The sequence below is a fragment of the Homo sapiens genome, chromosome 6, assembly GCF_000001405.40.
Source record: "Homo sapiens chromosome 6, GRCh38.p14 Primary Assembly".
In the NCBI taxonomy this organism is placed as follows: domain Eukaryota; kingdom Metazoa; phylum Chordata; class Mammalia; order Primates; family Hominidae; genus Homo; species Homo sapiens.
Genome location: NC_000006.12, coordinates 152,829,258 through 152,843,777, shown reverse-complemented (window position 1 = coordinate 152,843,777; position 14,520 = coordinate 152,829,258). Strand labels below are relative to the sequence as shown.

At 37.7% G+C, this 14,520-nt stretch overlaps 2 long non-coding RNA genes across 11 annotated transcripts in view; one reads left to right on the top strand and one right to left on the bottom strand.

The window, feature by feature from the left end:
* The window catches only part of LINC02840 (long intergenic non-protein coding RNA 2840), a 121,122-nt gene that overhangs the window by 32,220 nt on the left and 74,382 nt on the right, over positions 1-14,520 (top strand). For 3 of the 10 annotated variants that reach the window (NR_183504.1, NR_183508.1, NR_183503.1), the window contains exon 2: positions 11,842-11,924. This is a non-coding gene — a long non-coding RNA (long intergenic non-protein coding RNA 2840). Of the gene's footprint in view, positions 1-11,841; positions 11,925-12,496; positions 13,905-14,520 lie in introns of those variants that run through there. The other 7 variants (NR_183509.1, NR_183510.1, NR_183511.1 and 4 more) reach the window with 4 other exon arrangements.
* Positions 3,877-5,386, bottom strand: LOC124901440 (uncharacterized). The gene is made up of 2 exons (XR_007059822.1): positions 5,287-5,386; positions 3,877-5,188 (listed from the first exon to the last, which is right to left on the bottom strand). It is a non-coding gene; the product is annotated as an uncharacterized LOC124901440 (long non-coding RNA).

The following is a 14,520-nucleotide window of genomic DNA, read 5'->3' as shown; positions in this document are numbered from 1 at the left end:
AGGTGAAGGTTCTAGTGAGCCAAGGTCGCACCATTGCATTCCAGCCTGGGCAACAGAATGAGAATCCATCTCAAAAAAAATTATAATGTAATCTTTTGGTAGTTATTTACTTATAGATATCTTTTATACTTGCGTTGAGTGCCCTGAGGAGCATTCTTATTTTTGGTGAGGACAGAATCATAACTATGTATTTAGTAAAAAATTATTGAAAAGTTTTATGAAAATTTTAAGTTCCCAAATTAGGTACTCAAATTTCTATCTTTATAATAAAAGATATTTGATAACAGCCATCTGAAAGAGCCACTATTTGCTTTAATTCCCCTAAAAGGATTTAGTACAGAGATATGCATCCTAGTGACATAGATTAAAGAGTCTTTGGAGTAGAATTGACTTTTAGCTTAATACTAAAGCAGGCAAAGTTCCTCTTCGTTGTCTCATCTCTCTCTCTCTCTTTTTTTTTTAGTGTGGTAAGAAACTACACCTTCTTAAAATTTTAAGTGCATAATACATAATTGTTGAATACAGGTACAATGTTGTTCAGCAGATCTCTAGAGTTTATTTATTTGGCTTGACTGAAATTTTAACTCACCGTTTCCTCTCCCCCATCCCCAGCTCCCAGTAACCATCATTGCACTCTGATACTATGAATTTCACTATTTTAGATACCTCATACAAGTGGAATCAAGCAGCATTTGTCTTTCTGTGACTGGCTTATTTAACTTAGCATCATGTTCTCAGGATTCATCCGTGTTGTGTGTATTGAAGAATTTCCTTTTTTTTAAAGGTTGAGTAGTATTCCATTGTGTATATTATCCCACAATTTTTTTATCCAGTCATCTGTTGATGGGCATAATAGGTTGTTTCCACATCTTGGCTATTGTGAATAGACCTGCAATAAAACATGAGTGCTAACATCTCTTAAAGATCTAAATTTCAATCTTTTAGATAAATATGCAGAAATGGGATTGCTGGATTATATAATCATTCTATTTTTAATTTTTTGAGGAATATCCATACTGTGTTTTTTATAGCAACTGCATTATTTTGCATTCCCACCAGCAGTGTGCAAGGGTTCCAGTTTCTCCACATCTTCACCAACACTTGTCTTTTGACTGTTCCATCTCTTTCTGTTCTGCATACTTTCTTCCCACCTGGAAAATCCCCTTTGAAACTTTCTGCTGATCCTGAACTTCAGGATCCATTAGAATCTTTATTAATCTCTTAAAATTCAGGAGAGAGTAATAGGACTTCTCCTTGGGAGAAAAACAGAAATGAAGAATCAAAATGTAAAAATTCATCTGACTCAGAACCTTGTCTCTTTTCATATTTCAGCAACATCATCACTAATCTTTTTACTTTCTCTGTTTTTAGTTAGTTCTACTATTCTTGCATGTGTGCATATTACTTGAGCCTCTCATTAATTCCAATTGTTTGAAGTCATTGCCTTATTTTTTCCAGTTTTACCCTATCAGAGTTAAGGCAAATGGATGGGGGTGGGGGAAAAAGATAAAAATGATTTCTGAACTGAAGAATCAAGGATGAGGCAAAGAATCCTCACCAAGATGATGGCAGTTCTGGGACTCAGAGAAATATAAGATAATGACAGCCTACCTTTCTCCCTTCCTGCGCTTTGAATATGTAATCTCACTGCCTTCTGGCCTCCATGTTTTCTGCTGGGAAATCAGCTGCTGATCTTATGGATCCCTTGTACCTGATAGATTGCTTCTCTCTCACAGCTTTCACGGTCTCATTTAGATTATGATGTATAGATCTCTGTGAGTTTATCCTATGTGGAATTTACGAAGCTTCTTACACATATAAATGAATCTTTTCATAAATCTTGGGAAGCTTTTGGCCATTATTTCTTCAAATATGTTATTTGTTCTTTCTTTCCTCTCCCTCTAGGACTTCCATTATTTGTATATTGATACACTTGATGATGTCCCACAGGTCTCTGAGGCTATATTCATTTCCTTTCCTTTAGTTTTTATTTCTGTTTCTAAGGCTAGATAATTTGAACTGCCTATATTTGAATTTACCAATGGTTTATTCCGCCAGTTCAAATAGGCTGTTGAGACTACCTGGTGAAATTTTCATTTGAATTATTTTACTTTTTAACTTCAAAATTTTTATTTAGTTCTTTTTTATAGTTTCTGACTCTGTACTGGTGTTCTCTATTTGGTGAGATATCACTCTCATGCTTTCCTTTAGTTATTAAGACATGGTTTACTTTACTTCTTTGAACATATTTGCAATAGCTGATTCAAAGACTTCACCTAGGAAATCATTGTCTGGACTTCCTTAGAGACAGTTTCTAATGGCCACGTTTTTTTCCTACGTATGAACCATAGTTTCTAGTTTCTTTACATACAGAGGAGAGCCAAGATCACTTGGTGGCCATCAAGCAGACCGTCCAGAGGCAAAATTCCTTATCTGAGGAATTTATAAGTAATTAGACTTCCCTATTATCCAAAGCCAGCATCTGCTACTAGGCTTCTTTCCTAAAATTTATAAATAACTAGAATGTCTATACATCTCTGGAATGCATTCATATTGAAACTCATTCTGCAACGCTTGCTAATATTAAGGCACGAAAATGTCTATAAATGTAATCATTTATCATGACCTACATGGCCTATATGGTTCAAATTATCCTTAAGCTCCTGCTTTAAGGTCCATAAATACCCATAAGGGAAAATCCACCATGGCATGTTCAGTCAGTCCTCTCTTGCTGAGGCTTCCCACTGCACTCTTCTGCAGCATTCTTTCTATCTAATAATAGACTTCAATCCTATCTAATAAAAGGATTTCCAACCTATACTATTGTCAGTAAATTCTTCTTACTACCTGTAAGCTGATCACTTCACGTTGCTGCGGCTCTGACTCCTCACCCAGCACATGCCTCATACATTGTTTGTTGTAATTGGATATTTAAAATAATATGTGATAACTTTGAAAATCTGATTCCTCCCTTTCGAGACTGACATAAAAAAATCTGCTAAACCCCAAAACCCTTAGGTTCCTGAGGCAAGAATGGAAGGGTTGGTCTTCAGAGCCATAAGAGCTGAGAGGGTGAAGATTTCTGCAGGAAGGGCTAAGTACTCTTAGAGCTGATCTGCTCTCCTGATGTAGTCTTCCCTCTGCTTTTTAAAAACTGGACAAGAAAAATATTTCCTATATATAGAAGAAAGGCATTCTTATAATATTATTCTTTTTATTTTTCTACCCTCAGAAGTTCTTTTGTTTGCTAAACATTTAGTTTACTCTGCCTTCGGTGTTACATGTAACCGAAACTGACTTCGGTGTTACATGTAAACGTGTTCCTTTAGGCAATTCTTTGAAGCAAAATCAAAACCAAACTAAACTAAACTAAAATAAAATAAGAGTTGACATTTCCATAGATATCTGTTTACTTTCTTTATATTTTCAGGTTCTATGTGATCTACACCAACTTTATTTTTGGAGAAAAGATCGCACTTGTTAGGCATATATTGTCATTACAGGTAAAATATTCCTTTAAGTCTATAGTTCTAAGGAAGAAAAATAGTGAGAACTGTACTTCCTCACAGTGATTCTAGAAGTTATCAGAACAAGGTGAAAAAATTAGTTATAAATTTTCAGCTCTGCTTTTCTTCCATATGTCCTACAAATAAACTAGAAGTGATTTTAATTTTTTTGAAGCATAAAGTTGCATACATATCTCCAAATGTTTTGTAACTCAAAAGTCATTTGGAGCCCTCTTTACTCTCTGAAACTTAGATATCTTCAGATTTCCCTTGGAAGTTCAATGCCCTTCTATCATATCTGCTAATATCTTGGTGTTCTCCCACTCTTCTGTGCCAGGCTCCTTAACTCATATATGTGAGTCTTCAAAGATTCACGGAAGATGTTTATTAAGAAAAAAACTGTGCATGGACTTCAAAACTTTTTTGCACCAAAATAAACTCATACTAACCTGTTATAATGTATCTGAACAGGATATAGTTTGAGATACTAAGAAGGATAAGACATTAGTTTACAAAGAGTCTCTATCAGAGCAACATGAGTTCTGCTAAAATTAAGAACAAACATCTATTGATGGTAAAGCTTGGGTGGAAGAACAGTGAAATCACTGATGCTTTTTGAAAAGTTTCTGGGGACAAAGCCCCAAAGAAACCAGCAATTTACAAATAGACTGCTTGTTTTAAGAAGGGAATAGTGATGTTGAAGATGAAGCGTGCAGCAGCAGACCACCCACAACAATTTGCAAGGAAAAAAAATTTGTGCCCTAATTGAAGAGGACCAATTGTTAACAATAGAAACAATAGCCAACACCCTAGACATCTCAATTGGTTCAGCTTACACAATTCTGGCTGAAAAATTAAAAGTGAGCAAACTTTTCAGTCAGTGAGTATCAAAACCATTGTGCCCAGATCAGCTGCAGACAAGAGCAGAGCTTTCACTGGAATTTTGAAACAAGCAGATCAAGATTCTGAAGCATTTCTTCGAATTGTTAACAGGAGATGAAACATGACCTTACCAGTATGATCCTAAATACAAAACACAATCAAAGCAATGGCTACTGAGAGGTGGAAAGGGCCCAATCGAAGCAAAAATGGACTGGTCAAGAGCAAAGGTCGTGGCAACGGTGTTTTGGGATACTCAAGGCATTTTGCTTCGGAATATTCTGGAGGGCCAAAGAACAATAATGTCTTGCTCATTATGAGAGTGTTTTGAGAAAGTCAAAGCTTTAGCAGAAAAATGCCTGGGAAACTTCATGAGAGAGTCCTCTACAACAACAATGCTCCTGCTCAGTGCTCTCATCAAACAAGGGCAAGTTTGAGAGTTTCGATGTTAAATAGGCATCCACCTTATAGTCCTGATTTGGCTGCAACTTTTTTTTCCCCCTAATTTAAAAAATCTGTAAAGGGCATCCATTTTTCTTCAGTTAATAGTGTAAAAAAGGCTGCATTGATGTGGTTAAATTCCCAGGATCCTCACTTCTTTAGGGATGGACGAAATGTCGGTGTCATTGCTTACAAAAGTGTCTTGAACGTGATGGAGCTTAGATTGAAAAATAAAGTTGATATTTCTTATTTTTTGTTTAATTTCATTTTTCCATGAACTTTTTGAAGATCCCTCATACCTTGGTTTGTTTTGTTCATGTCAGATCAGACTCAGACAACTTAGTCGCTACCTTTTGTTTTTCCTGTAAAAAATCAATATATACTTTTGTGAGATTAATAATCCTTGTTGAAGGTTTAGAAAGAGATTCTCATTTGAGTGTGTGGACTTTTACTATCTCACCAAGTCTTCCTCCTCCTTTGCCTTTTGATATCTGTGCTTCTTCTGCTCAGACTTGTCAATTCTCCTTTGGTAGCTATTTACATCTCTCTCATTTCTACACCTAAAATTTGCATAATCAGATTCATCAATGATTTTCATTTGGCAGAACCCACCCCACCTAAAAGACAGTTGGGTTACAGATAATGAAAGCATTTCAGTAATACCCCCAGACACAAAAACATATCCATTGGAATTCTGAAAATATGAGAACAAGTAAATTTGGAAGCTAGTCTCAGTATTATTTGTCTCAAAATGTCAGCAGTTCTTTGATTAGGTCATGCAAAGAATGATGTTAGGAATATTTGCAAGATTATCCATGCTGTTAAAGCTACTATAGTCCAATATGTTTTGGAGAAATTAACAAACCTTTTTATTTTTTTCTGAGAATTTTTTACTCTCCTCCCATAAGCTGAAGATAAAAAAGACACAAGATGAAGATGTAAAAGATGTTGGGAATAAACCCTGAGCCAAAGCCAGATTTATATTTCTTTCCATTTATCTCCTAATACCAGGTGTAATTCTAAAACTGAACATCCACTATTTTATATAGAAGCTGAAAAGTAGCTTAATTTTTTTATGGAAAGAGGGTATAAATGAGCTTTCTGAAACATTAATTTTATAGTTTACAGCACAGGAGCATCTTAGTTCTTGAACTAGGATTTCTGGTTTTCTCTGCTTGTCTTTTATATTCTTTATGTTTGAAAATGTATGTCAGAATTCACATATGAGTTATTTCCCTTGAAATAAGTATACTTATATTAAAACAAATAGATGTTACCTGTCTAAAATTAGAAAAAATATTTGCTTTATAATTGAGCGATTAAAGTCATGTTTGTGTCTGCCATTTAAAGTTGTCCATGGTCCAGAGCTCACTTGAGATTTACCATGCCTAATTCAGTAATGTTGACTCAAATCTTTCCAGAATTTCTGATAATCCTGTCTTCACTCAACAGTTACAGGCCATTTTTGCCTCTGAAATATAGGATTTGAAGAACTTTTATCTACTACAGTGTCTCTTTTATAGATCTGTTCATTTTTATAACCAAGTTCTTTTATTTCAAATTATTCTTTAATCTTTCTTCCTAATCTTTATGATTAAACTTTCAACCTCCTGTAGTAGAATAGATTCTAGATGCTGAGGTATATAACTCAATTGTGCAACTCAGAATTGACCTCAGAGTTTTGTATGTCTCCAGTACAACTGTTTAAACTTGACATTAAAATGTTAAGCCATTCTGTAATTTTTGAGCAATTTCCTGAATAATTTCCAATTTCCAAGCTATTTGTACACAGGAAACTGCTGTTTAACAAAGGTTGCACCCAATGAAGTCAGGGGCCTTTCATCTAATTATAAACATCCCTTATTATCTTCAATTAAGTCTGCTGTGACCCTGAAATAACTTTTCATAGTTGAAACCAAACTATAAAAAGAATCTATTGGGTATCAAAAATATCACTTACCTCCCCAAAGAACGAATTTTTAAGGCCTCTATCAAAATCTCTACTTCAGAGATCTCTGGAGATGCATGTTTGGCAATGGTATCTGTTTACTAAGAACTCATTTTCTATGAGACTTCTAGAAATATCTTCCACTCAATTAGGAGTTGACATTCTCCCTTAAGTAGATTGAAGTCCCCCAGTATTAGAGTACAAAGCAGAGACCTGTGGGAAGAGGCATTCCTTACAGGAATGAGTCTTTATGTTTAGAGAATACCCCCTGGGGAGGGCTAAAAAGAATAGCCTTGTCAAGCCAAGGGGTGTGAATTGCTACCGTGAGGATTTACAATTCTAGAGTCCTCTATATTTTAGTACTATGGTTACATTAGGAGAGGTACCATATGGAAGGGGTATGAGGAGATGGTACTGAGTAAGTGTAAAATGTAGATGAGATGAAGAACTTTTATCTATTACAGTGTCTCTTTTATAGATCTGTTCATTTTTATAACCAAGTTCTTTTATTTCAAATTATTCTTTGAATAATTTTATATTCTTTATATTAATATATATTAATATATTTCCTTGTCCTCACCCAAATCTCATCTCGAATTGTAATCCCCGCGAGTCAAGGAAGGAACCTGTAATCCCCACCTGTCGAGGGAGGGAGGCAATTGGATCACGGGGGCAGATTCTGCCATGCTGTTCTCATGATAGTGAGGGAGTTCTCACAAGATCTAATGGTTTTAAAAGTGTGGCATTGGCTGGGCGTGGTGGTTCATGCCTGTAATCCCAGCATTTTGGGAGGCTGAGGCGGCTGGATCACCTGAGATCAGGAGTTCAAGACCAGCCTGGGCAACATGGTGAAATCCTGTCTCTACTAAAAATTCAAAAAATTAGCCGGGTGTGGTAGCGGGTGCCTGTAATCTAGTTACTTGGGAGGCTGAGGCAGGAGAATTTCTTGAACCCAGGAGGCGGAGGTTGCAGTGAGCCGAGATGGCGCCGTTGCACTCCAGCCTGGGCAACAAGAGTGAAACTCCATCTCAAAAAAAAAAAAAAAAAAAGTGACACTTCCTCGTTCGCTTGCTTTTTCTCTCTCCTGCTGCCTGTGAGGAAGGTGCTTGCTTTCCCTTCGCCTTCCGCCATGATTGTAAGTTTCCTGAGGCCTCCTTAGCCATGTGGAACTGTGAGACAATTAAATCTCTTTCCTTTATAAATTACCCAGTCTCAGGTAGTATCTTTATAGCAGTGTGAAAACAGACTAATACAGTAGACAAATATGCTAACCACCCTGATTTAATCATTACAAACTGTATACATGTATCAAAACATCACACTGTACCCCATAAATACATACAATTATGTCCGGAATTGGTGGGTTATTGGTCTCACTGACTTCAAGAATGAAGCCGCGGACCCTCGCGGTGAGTGTTACAGCTCTTAAGGTGGCGCATCTGGAGTCTGTCCCTTCTGATGTTCAGATGTGTTCGGAGTTTCTTCCTTCTGGTGGGTTCGTGGTCTCGCTGGCTCAGGAGTCAAGCTGCAGACCTTCGCAGTGAGTGTTACCGCTCATAAAAGCAGCGTGGACCCAAAGAGTGAGCAGTAGCAAGATTTATTGCAAAGAGCAAAAGAACAAAGCTTCCACAGTGTGGAAGGGGACCCGAGCGGGTTGCCAATGCTGGTTGGGGCAGCCTGCTTTTATTCTCTTATCTGGCCCCACCCACATCATGCTGATTGGTAGAGCCGAGTGGCCTGTTTTGTCAGGGCACTGATTGGTGCGTTTACAATCCCTGAGCTAGATACAAAGGTTCTCCATGTCCCTATCAGATTAGTTCCATACAGAGTTTCCACACACAGGTTCTCCAAGGCCCCACCAGAGCAGCTAGATACAGAGTGTCGATTGGTGCATTCACAAACCTTGAGCTAAACACAGGGTGCTGATTGGTGTGTTTACAAACCTTAAGCTAGATACAGAGTGCCGATTGGTGTATTTACAATCCTTGAGCTAGACATAAAGGTTCTCCAAGTCCCCAACAGATAGTTAGATACAGAGTTTCCACACACAGGTTCTCCAAGGCCCCACCAGAGCAGCTAGACACAGAGTGTCGATTGGTGCACTCACAAACCTTGAGCTAAACACAGGGTACTGATTGGTGTATTTACAATCCCTGAGCTAGATATAAAGACTCTCCACGTCCTCACCAGACTCAGGAGCCCAGGTGGCTTCACCTAGTGGATCCCGCACCGGGGCTGCAGGTGGAGCTGCCTGCCAGTCCTGCGCCGTGCGCTTGCATTCCTCAGCCCTTAGGTGGTCGATGGGACTGGGCGCCCTGGAGCAGGGGGTGGTGCTCGTCTGGGAGGCTCGGGCCGCACAGGAGCCCATGGAGTGGGTGGGAGGCTCAGGCATGGCGAGCTGCAGGTCCCGAGCCATGCCCCGCGGGAAGGCAGCTAAGGCTCGGTGAGAAATCGAGCGCAGCGCCGGTGGGCTGGCACTGTTGGGGGACCCAGTACACCCTCCACAGCCGCTGGCCCGGGTGCTAAGTCCCTCATTGCCCGGGGCCGGCAGGACTGGCCGGCTGCTCCGAGTGCGGGGCCCGCCAAGCCCACGCCCACCCGGAACTCCAGCTGGCCCGCAAGCGCCGCACGCAGCCCCAGTTCCAGCTCGCGCCTCTCCCTCCACACCTCCCTGCAAGCTGAGGGAGTGGGCTCCAGCCTTGGCCAGCCCAGAAAGTGGCTCCCACAGTGCAGTGGGAGGGCTGAAGGGCTCCTCAAATGCCGCCAAAGTGGGAGCCCAAGCAGGGGAGGTGCCGAGAGCAAGCGAGGGCTCTGAGGACTGCCAGCACTCTGTCACCTCTCACAATCATTCGTCAATTGAAGATAAAATAAAACAGTAATAGAGTAAGCTATGTCTCTCTCTATATATATATTCACACACACATACAAACACACACACACACATAATTTGCCAGATTACTACTATTTGACCTTTTAATAAAATGTTATTTAAAATTTAATATGAATCAACATTTTACACCTTGAATTTTAGAATACTTTGGTTTTTGTTTTGGCTTTTTTAAGCCAGGGTCTCTCTCTGTCACTCAGGCTGGAGTGCAGTGGCACGATCTCAGCCCACTGCAACCTCTGCCTCCCAGGCTCAAGTGATCTCCCACCACAGCCTCCCAAGTAGCTGAACTACAAGTACACAGGCCACCATGCCCAGCTAATTTTTGTGTTTTTTGTGGAGATATGGTTTCACCATGTTGCTCAGGCTGGTCTCAAACTCCTGAGCTCAAGCAATCTGCCTGCCTCGGCCTCCCAAAGTGCTGGGATTAGAGGCGTGAGCCACCATGCCCAGGTTAAAATACTTGCAATATGAAATAAATTTAACTCTAGAAAACATAGACACTAGCTGCTTGAGAAAATTGGTCTGAGGTAATCTCAACTTCAAACAAGTAATAGTATTTTCAAAATCAGCCCATATCAGTTAGTTCTGGCTCTCCATGTTTCCGGCACTCTCTTGCTATACTCAGACTGCAGGATCCAAAAACAAATGATACATCAAGTCATAAAAATAAGGAGGTGACTCAAGTAAAACGAAGCTGGTCTTCATAAATATTAGAGCCTTTTTAGCTTGATAAAGTTTAGCAAAGCAACTATTTTATTTAATAGCTGTAGTCTTTAAAACTTAGTTTTACAAATGTCCAAATTTCTATTTAAAATTTTTAATGTCCCTAAGGAAAAAAGCTAAAAAATGGTTTTTAAAAACATGTTTTTATTGTGAAAAACTTCAAACATAAAAATGTAGTTTAATTCATATTTCTGCCTAATCACCCCCATTGGCATAGTTTAATTGAATTCCTAGATATGATATCATTTCATCTGTAAATACCTAACAGTGTATCTTTAAAGGGCAGGAACTTTAAAAAAATATGAGGAGAATGTCATTATCACACCTAAAAACAATAATTCCAGAGCATAAAATTGTATCTAAATAGTGTTCCAATTTTGCTGGTTCTATTGTAAATGCATTGTTTCAGTTGGCTTATTCAAATGAAGATACAAAGTCTACACATTGCCTTTGTGTAATATGCCTCTTAACCTCTGTTGATATATTACAGTTTTTCTCCTTCATTTTTTCTTGCTGTTTGTTTGTTGGAATTTCCCACAATCTGAATAGCAGCATCATGGTATTTTTTAAACATGCTCATTTACTCTATGAATGTCCTATGAACTGAAAGTCAGATCTAGATGCTTAACTAAATTCCTTTTGACAAGAACATTTCATAGGTGGTTGTGAGTGCTTTCTATTGCTCTGTATCAGATGGTACATGACGTCTTGTTTCAATCCCTTTTACTTGATATTAAGATTGATCTGTGAATTCATGTGTGATCAACCTGATCCATCCATTGTAAGGTTTCCTATTGGCCTTTACCTAAGGATTTTAAAACTGATGAATGTTACCTAGTTCTATGATTTTATTAGGAAAAATATTACATGTATTTTAAATTCTTTCTGAATTTGTTTAGAATTATTTCAGAAAGAAGGTTCTTTTATCAACTGTCTGATTACTCACAAATGCACTTTGTACAAGAAAGGTAGAATAGATGCTTAATTCCCAAATTTATTCCTAATAAACTAGGAAGATTTGTGTATCCTTACCAAGAGCTTTCCAACATAGCGGGCGTTAGAAAACAGTTCTAATTTGATTTGATTTCCTATTTTCAAGAGGGACAAGATTGTTTGAGGTTGATTTCTTTCATTTTCAATTGGTTATGAATAGCTAAAGAGAGTATAATCTTTTGTAAAAATATGATTGGTTGTCTAGAAAGTAATTTCTTATCCAAAAGTTATGTGATTCAGAACATCGACAATGAAAAGCTGGTGAACTTGAGAAGAAGAAATAAAATGAGAAACTTGTCTTTCACCAGGGTGGTTTGAAATGAGATAGAAATTATGGGGAGAAGGGATAGGGATAGGGTAACAATGGAGTGACATTTTTCCTAGTATATGTTTGGTATGGATTTGATTTTTAGAATATGCTATTTTATTAATTAATTAATTAATTCTAACTTTTATTTTAGGTTCAGGAGTACATGCGCAGGTTTGTCATATAAGCAAATTATGTGGCACAGAAGTTTGGTGTATGGATTATTTCATCACCCAGGTAATCAACACCATACTTGATAAGTATTTTTCCTGATCATCTCCCTTCTGCCACCATTCACCCTCAAATCGGCCCGTGTCTGTTAGAACATGCTATGTTTTTCTTTTTCTTTTTCTTTTTTTTTTGAAATTTTCAGGGAAAGAACATGTTTTTTTTTAATCTTTAAAAGCAAATAAAATAAATAAAAAGGGAGGGGTACCATAGAATACAAACAGAAGGAAATGAATAACATAATACACTCAACTGAGAAATAAGGAACTAACCCAATTACTTGTTGAATTTGGTATTTTGACTATATACTTTCTGGCTAAAAAAAAAAAAGGCAAACAAGTTAGTAGTTGGTAGGTTAGTGTTTCAGAGGTATAGTTTAGAAATTCTGAAACTTCTTAGTGCATACTGTAGGATTGAGCAGATACATAAATGAATGAAGCGTAGCAGAAGTCAGGTTTGCTATCATCAGAAAAGAGTATCACAAAATGGGAAGGGTAAGCGTTTGGAGCAGCAATCCACGAAGGGCTCTGGGCATCCCTGTGCATCATTGCTGGGTGTGCCAGGAATGCAACACCCTCGCCACTTTTTATCCAGGCCGTTTCTCAGCGTTGGATGTGCAAGCAGTTTTGAGAGATGAAGTCATGACTTCAAGACAAAAAAACAGGTTTGCTTATTTTGCTACAAACCAATAAGTTCTTCAGCCATGCTGCAAATCCACTGTGTATCCAGTTCCCATCTGCGGCCCGCACATCATCCCCATGGGACTTGAGAGCAAGAGGATCCCACGCAAATCATGTTGCTTGCTATGCTGTGAGTAAAATGTCCTTTGTCTCTGACTCAGAAGTCTTGTATCTTCTATTAGCATCCATGAAACCGTGGCAGGCTAACTCGTTAAAATAACCCAAAATCAAATTCCAAGTCTGAAAGACACTAGAATGGCATATGGTATTTTGTTAGAATTGGAGGGATGGGGATGAGCTCATAGTTATAAAGATAAATGATAGATATTAGATTAATGTATAGACAGATATTGGTGTGTATGTATAAATAAATGTTTTTACAAAGTAGATTGCTACAGGGTTCGTATAGCCCTTAGCTCTTTGTTTATAAATACCTTTCGTCTCTAAAAAGATCCAGGGCTCCCTGGAGAACTGGCTAATTCTCGGGCATGGAATGAAAAAATACAAGATGAACCTGGAGAAGCTTTCTGTGTCAGAAAGTAAGAACGTGCTCAAAGAATGATGGGACCATGTGAAAAGGACATAGGAGTCTGTTTGAAAGGCATCCCACTGGCCAAATATAGGATAACTCTGAGGATAAAAATGTCAGTAAAGAATTATAACCCACTGAAATAAAAAATGATAAATGGATAAATGAAGGCATTATTTATAGGACAATGACAGCTAATACATTTTAAAAGAAAAATGAGATACAAGATCAACATTTGGCAAACACCATAATAATTATTTCTGGCAAGAAACATCCATGAAAGCTAAAAACTAATGGATGCAAATTGATGAGAAAGATAATATTTATATAACCTCAAAGCATCTCCTTCATAAAATACTTATTAGTGACAAAGTGAAGATGGTGACTCTACAATGGAGGAACCTAGCAGACAGCATCTTAACCAAGGGATCAAGATGGAACAATTGTGTACTATAATGTTCATTCTCATATCAGGCGCTAAGTACACAACATCACTTTTGTGCTACTCTGCACAAAACCCATAACTGAAATCTAACTCTGAGGAAACATCAGATAAAAACAAAATGAACAATATTCTTTGCAATAAGTGATCTGTGCTCTTCAAAATGTGAAGGTCATAAAAGACAGTTCCAGGTCAAAAGAGACCAAAGGTGCACAATAACTAAATAAAAAAAGAACCTTATATTAGATTTTGCAGAAGAAACTATTTTTTGCCCTTTCTTTAAAGAATATTAATGGGAAGTTGGTGAAATTTGAATAAAGTCTGTACATGAGATGATAGCATTATATCAAAGTTAATTTCCTAGTTTTAATCACTGTCAGGTGTTTATATAAGAGAATTTGTTTTCCAGGAAATACAAACTGAATAATTTAGGAATAAAGGGATATATCTCCATAATTTACTCCTAAATGACTCAGAATATATATATATATATATATATATGTATATGTATATACACACACATAAGTATGTGTATGTATAAATTTGTTATATATATAACATATGTATGTGTTAATATAACAAATTTATATATACATATGTATATAAATACAATATAGATATTTTTTATATATAACATATCTCTATCTATGGAGAGAGAGAGTAAAGAAAATGTGAAATGTTAACATTTGAGGCCTTTAGCAAAGTGTTGACAGAGATTCTTTGTATAATTTTTTTTTTTTTTTTTTTTTTTTTTGAGATGGAGTCTCGCTGTGTCACCCAGGCTGGAGGGCGGTGGCGTGATCTCGGCTCACTGCAACCTCTGCCTCCCATGCTCAAGCAATTCTCCTGCTTCAGCCTCCTGAGTAGCTGGGATTACAGGCACAAGCCACCATGCCCGGCTAATTGTTGTATTTTTAGTAGAGATGGGGTTTCACCATGTTGCCCAGGCTGATC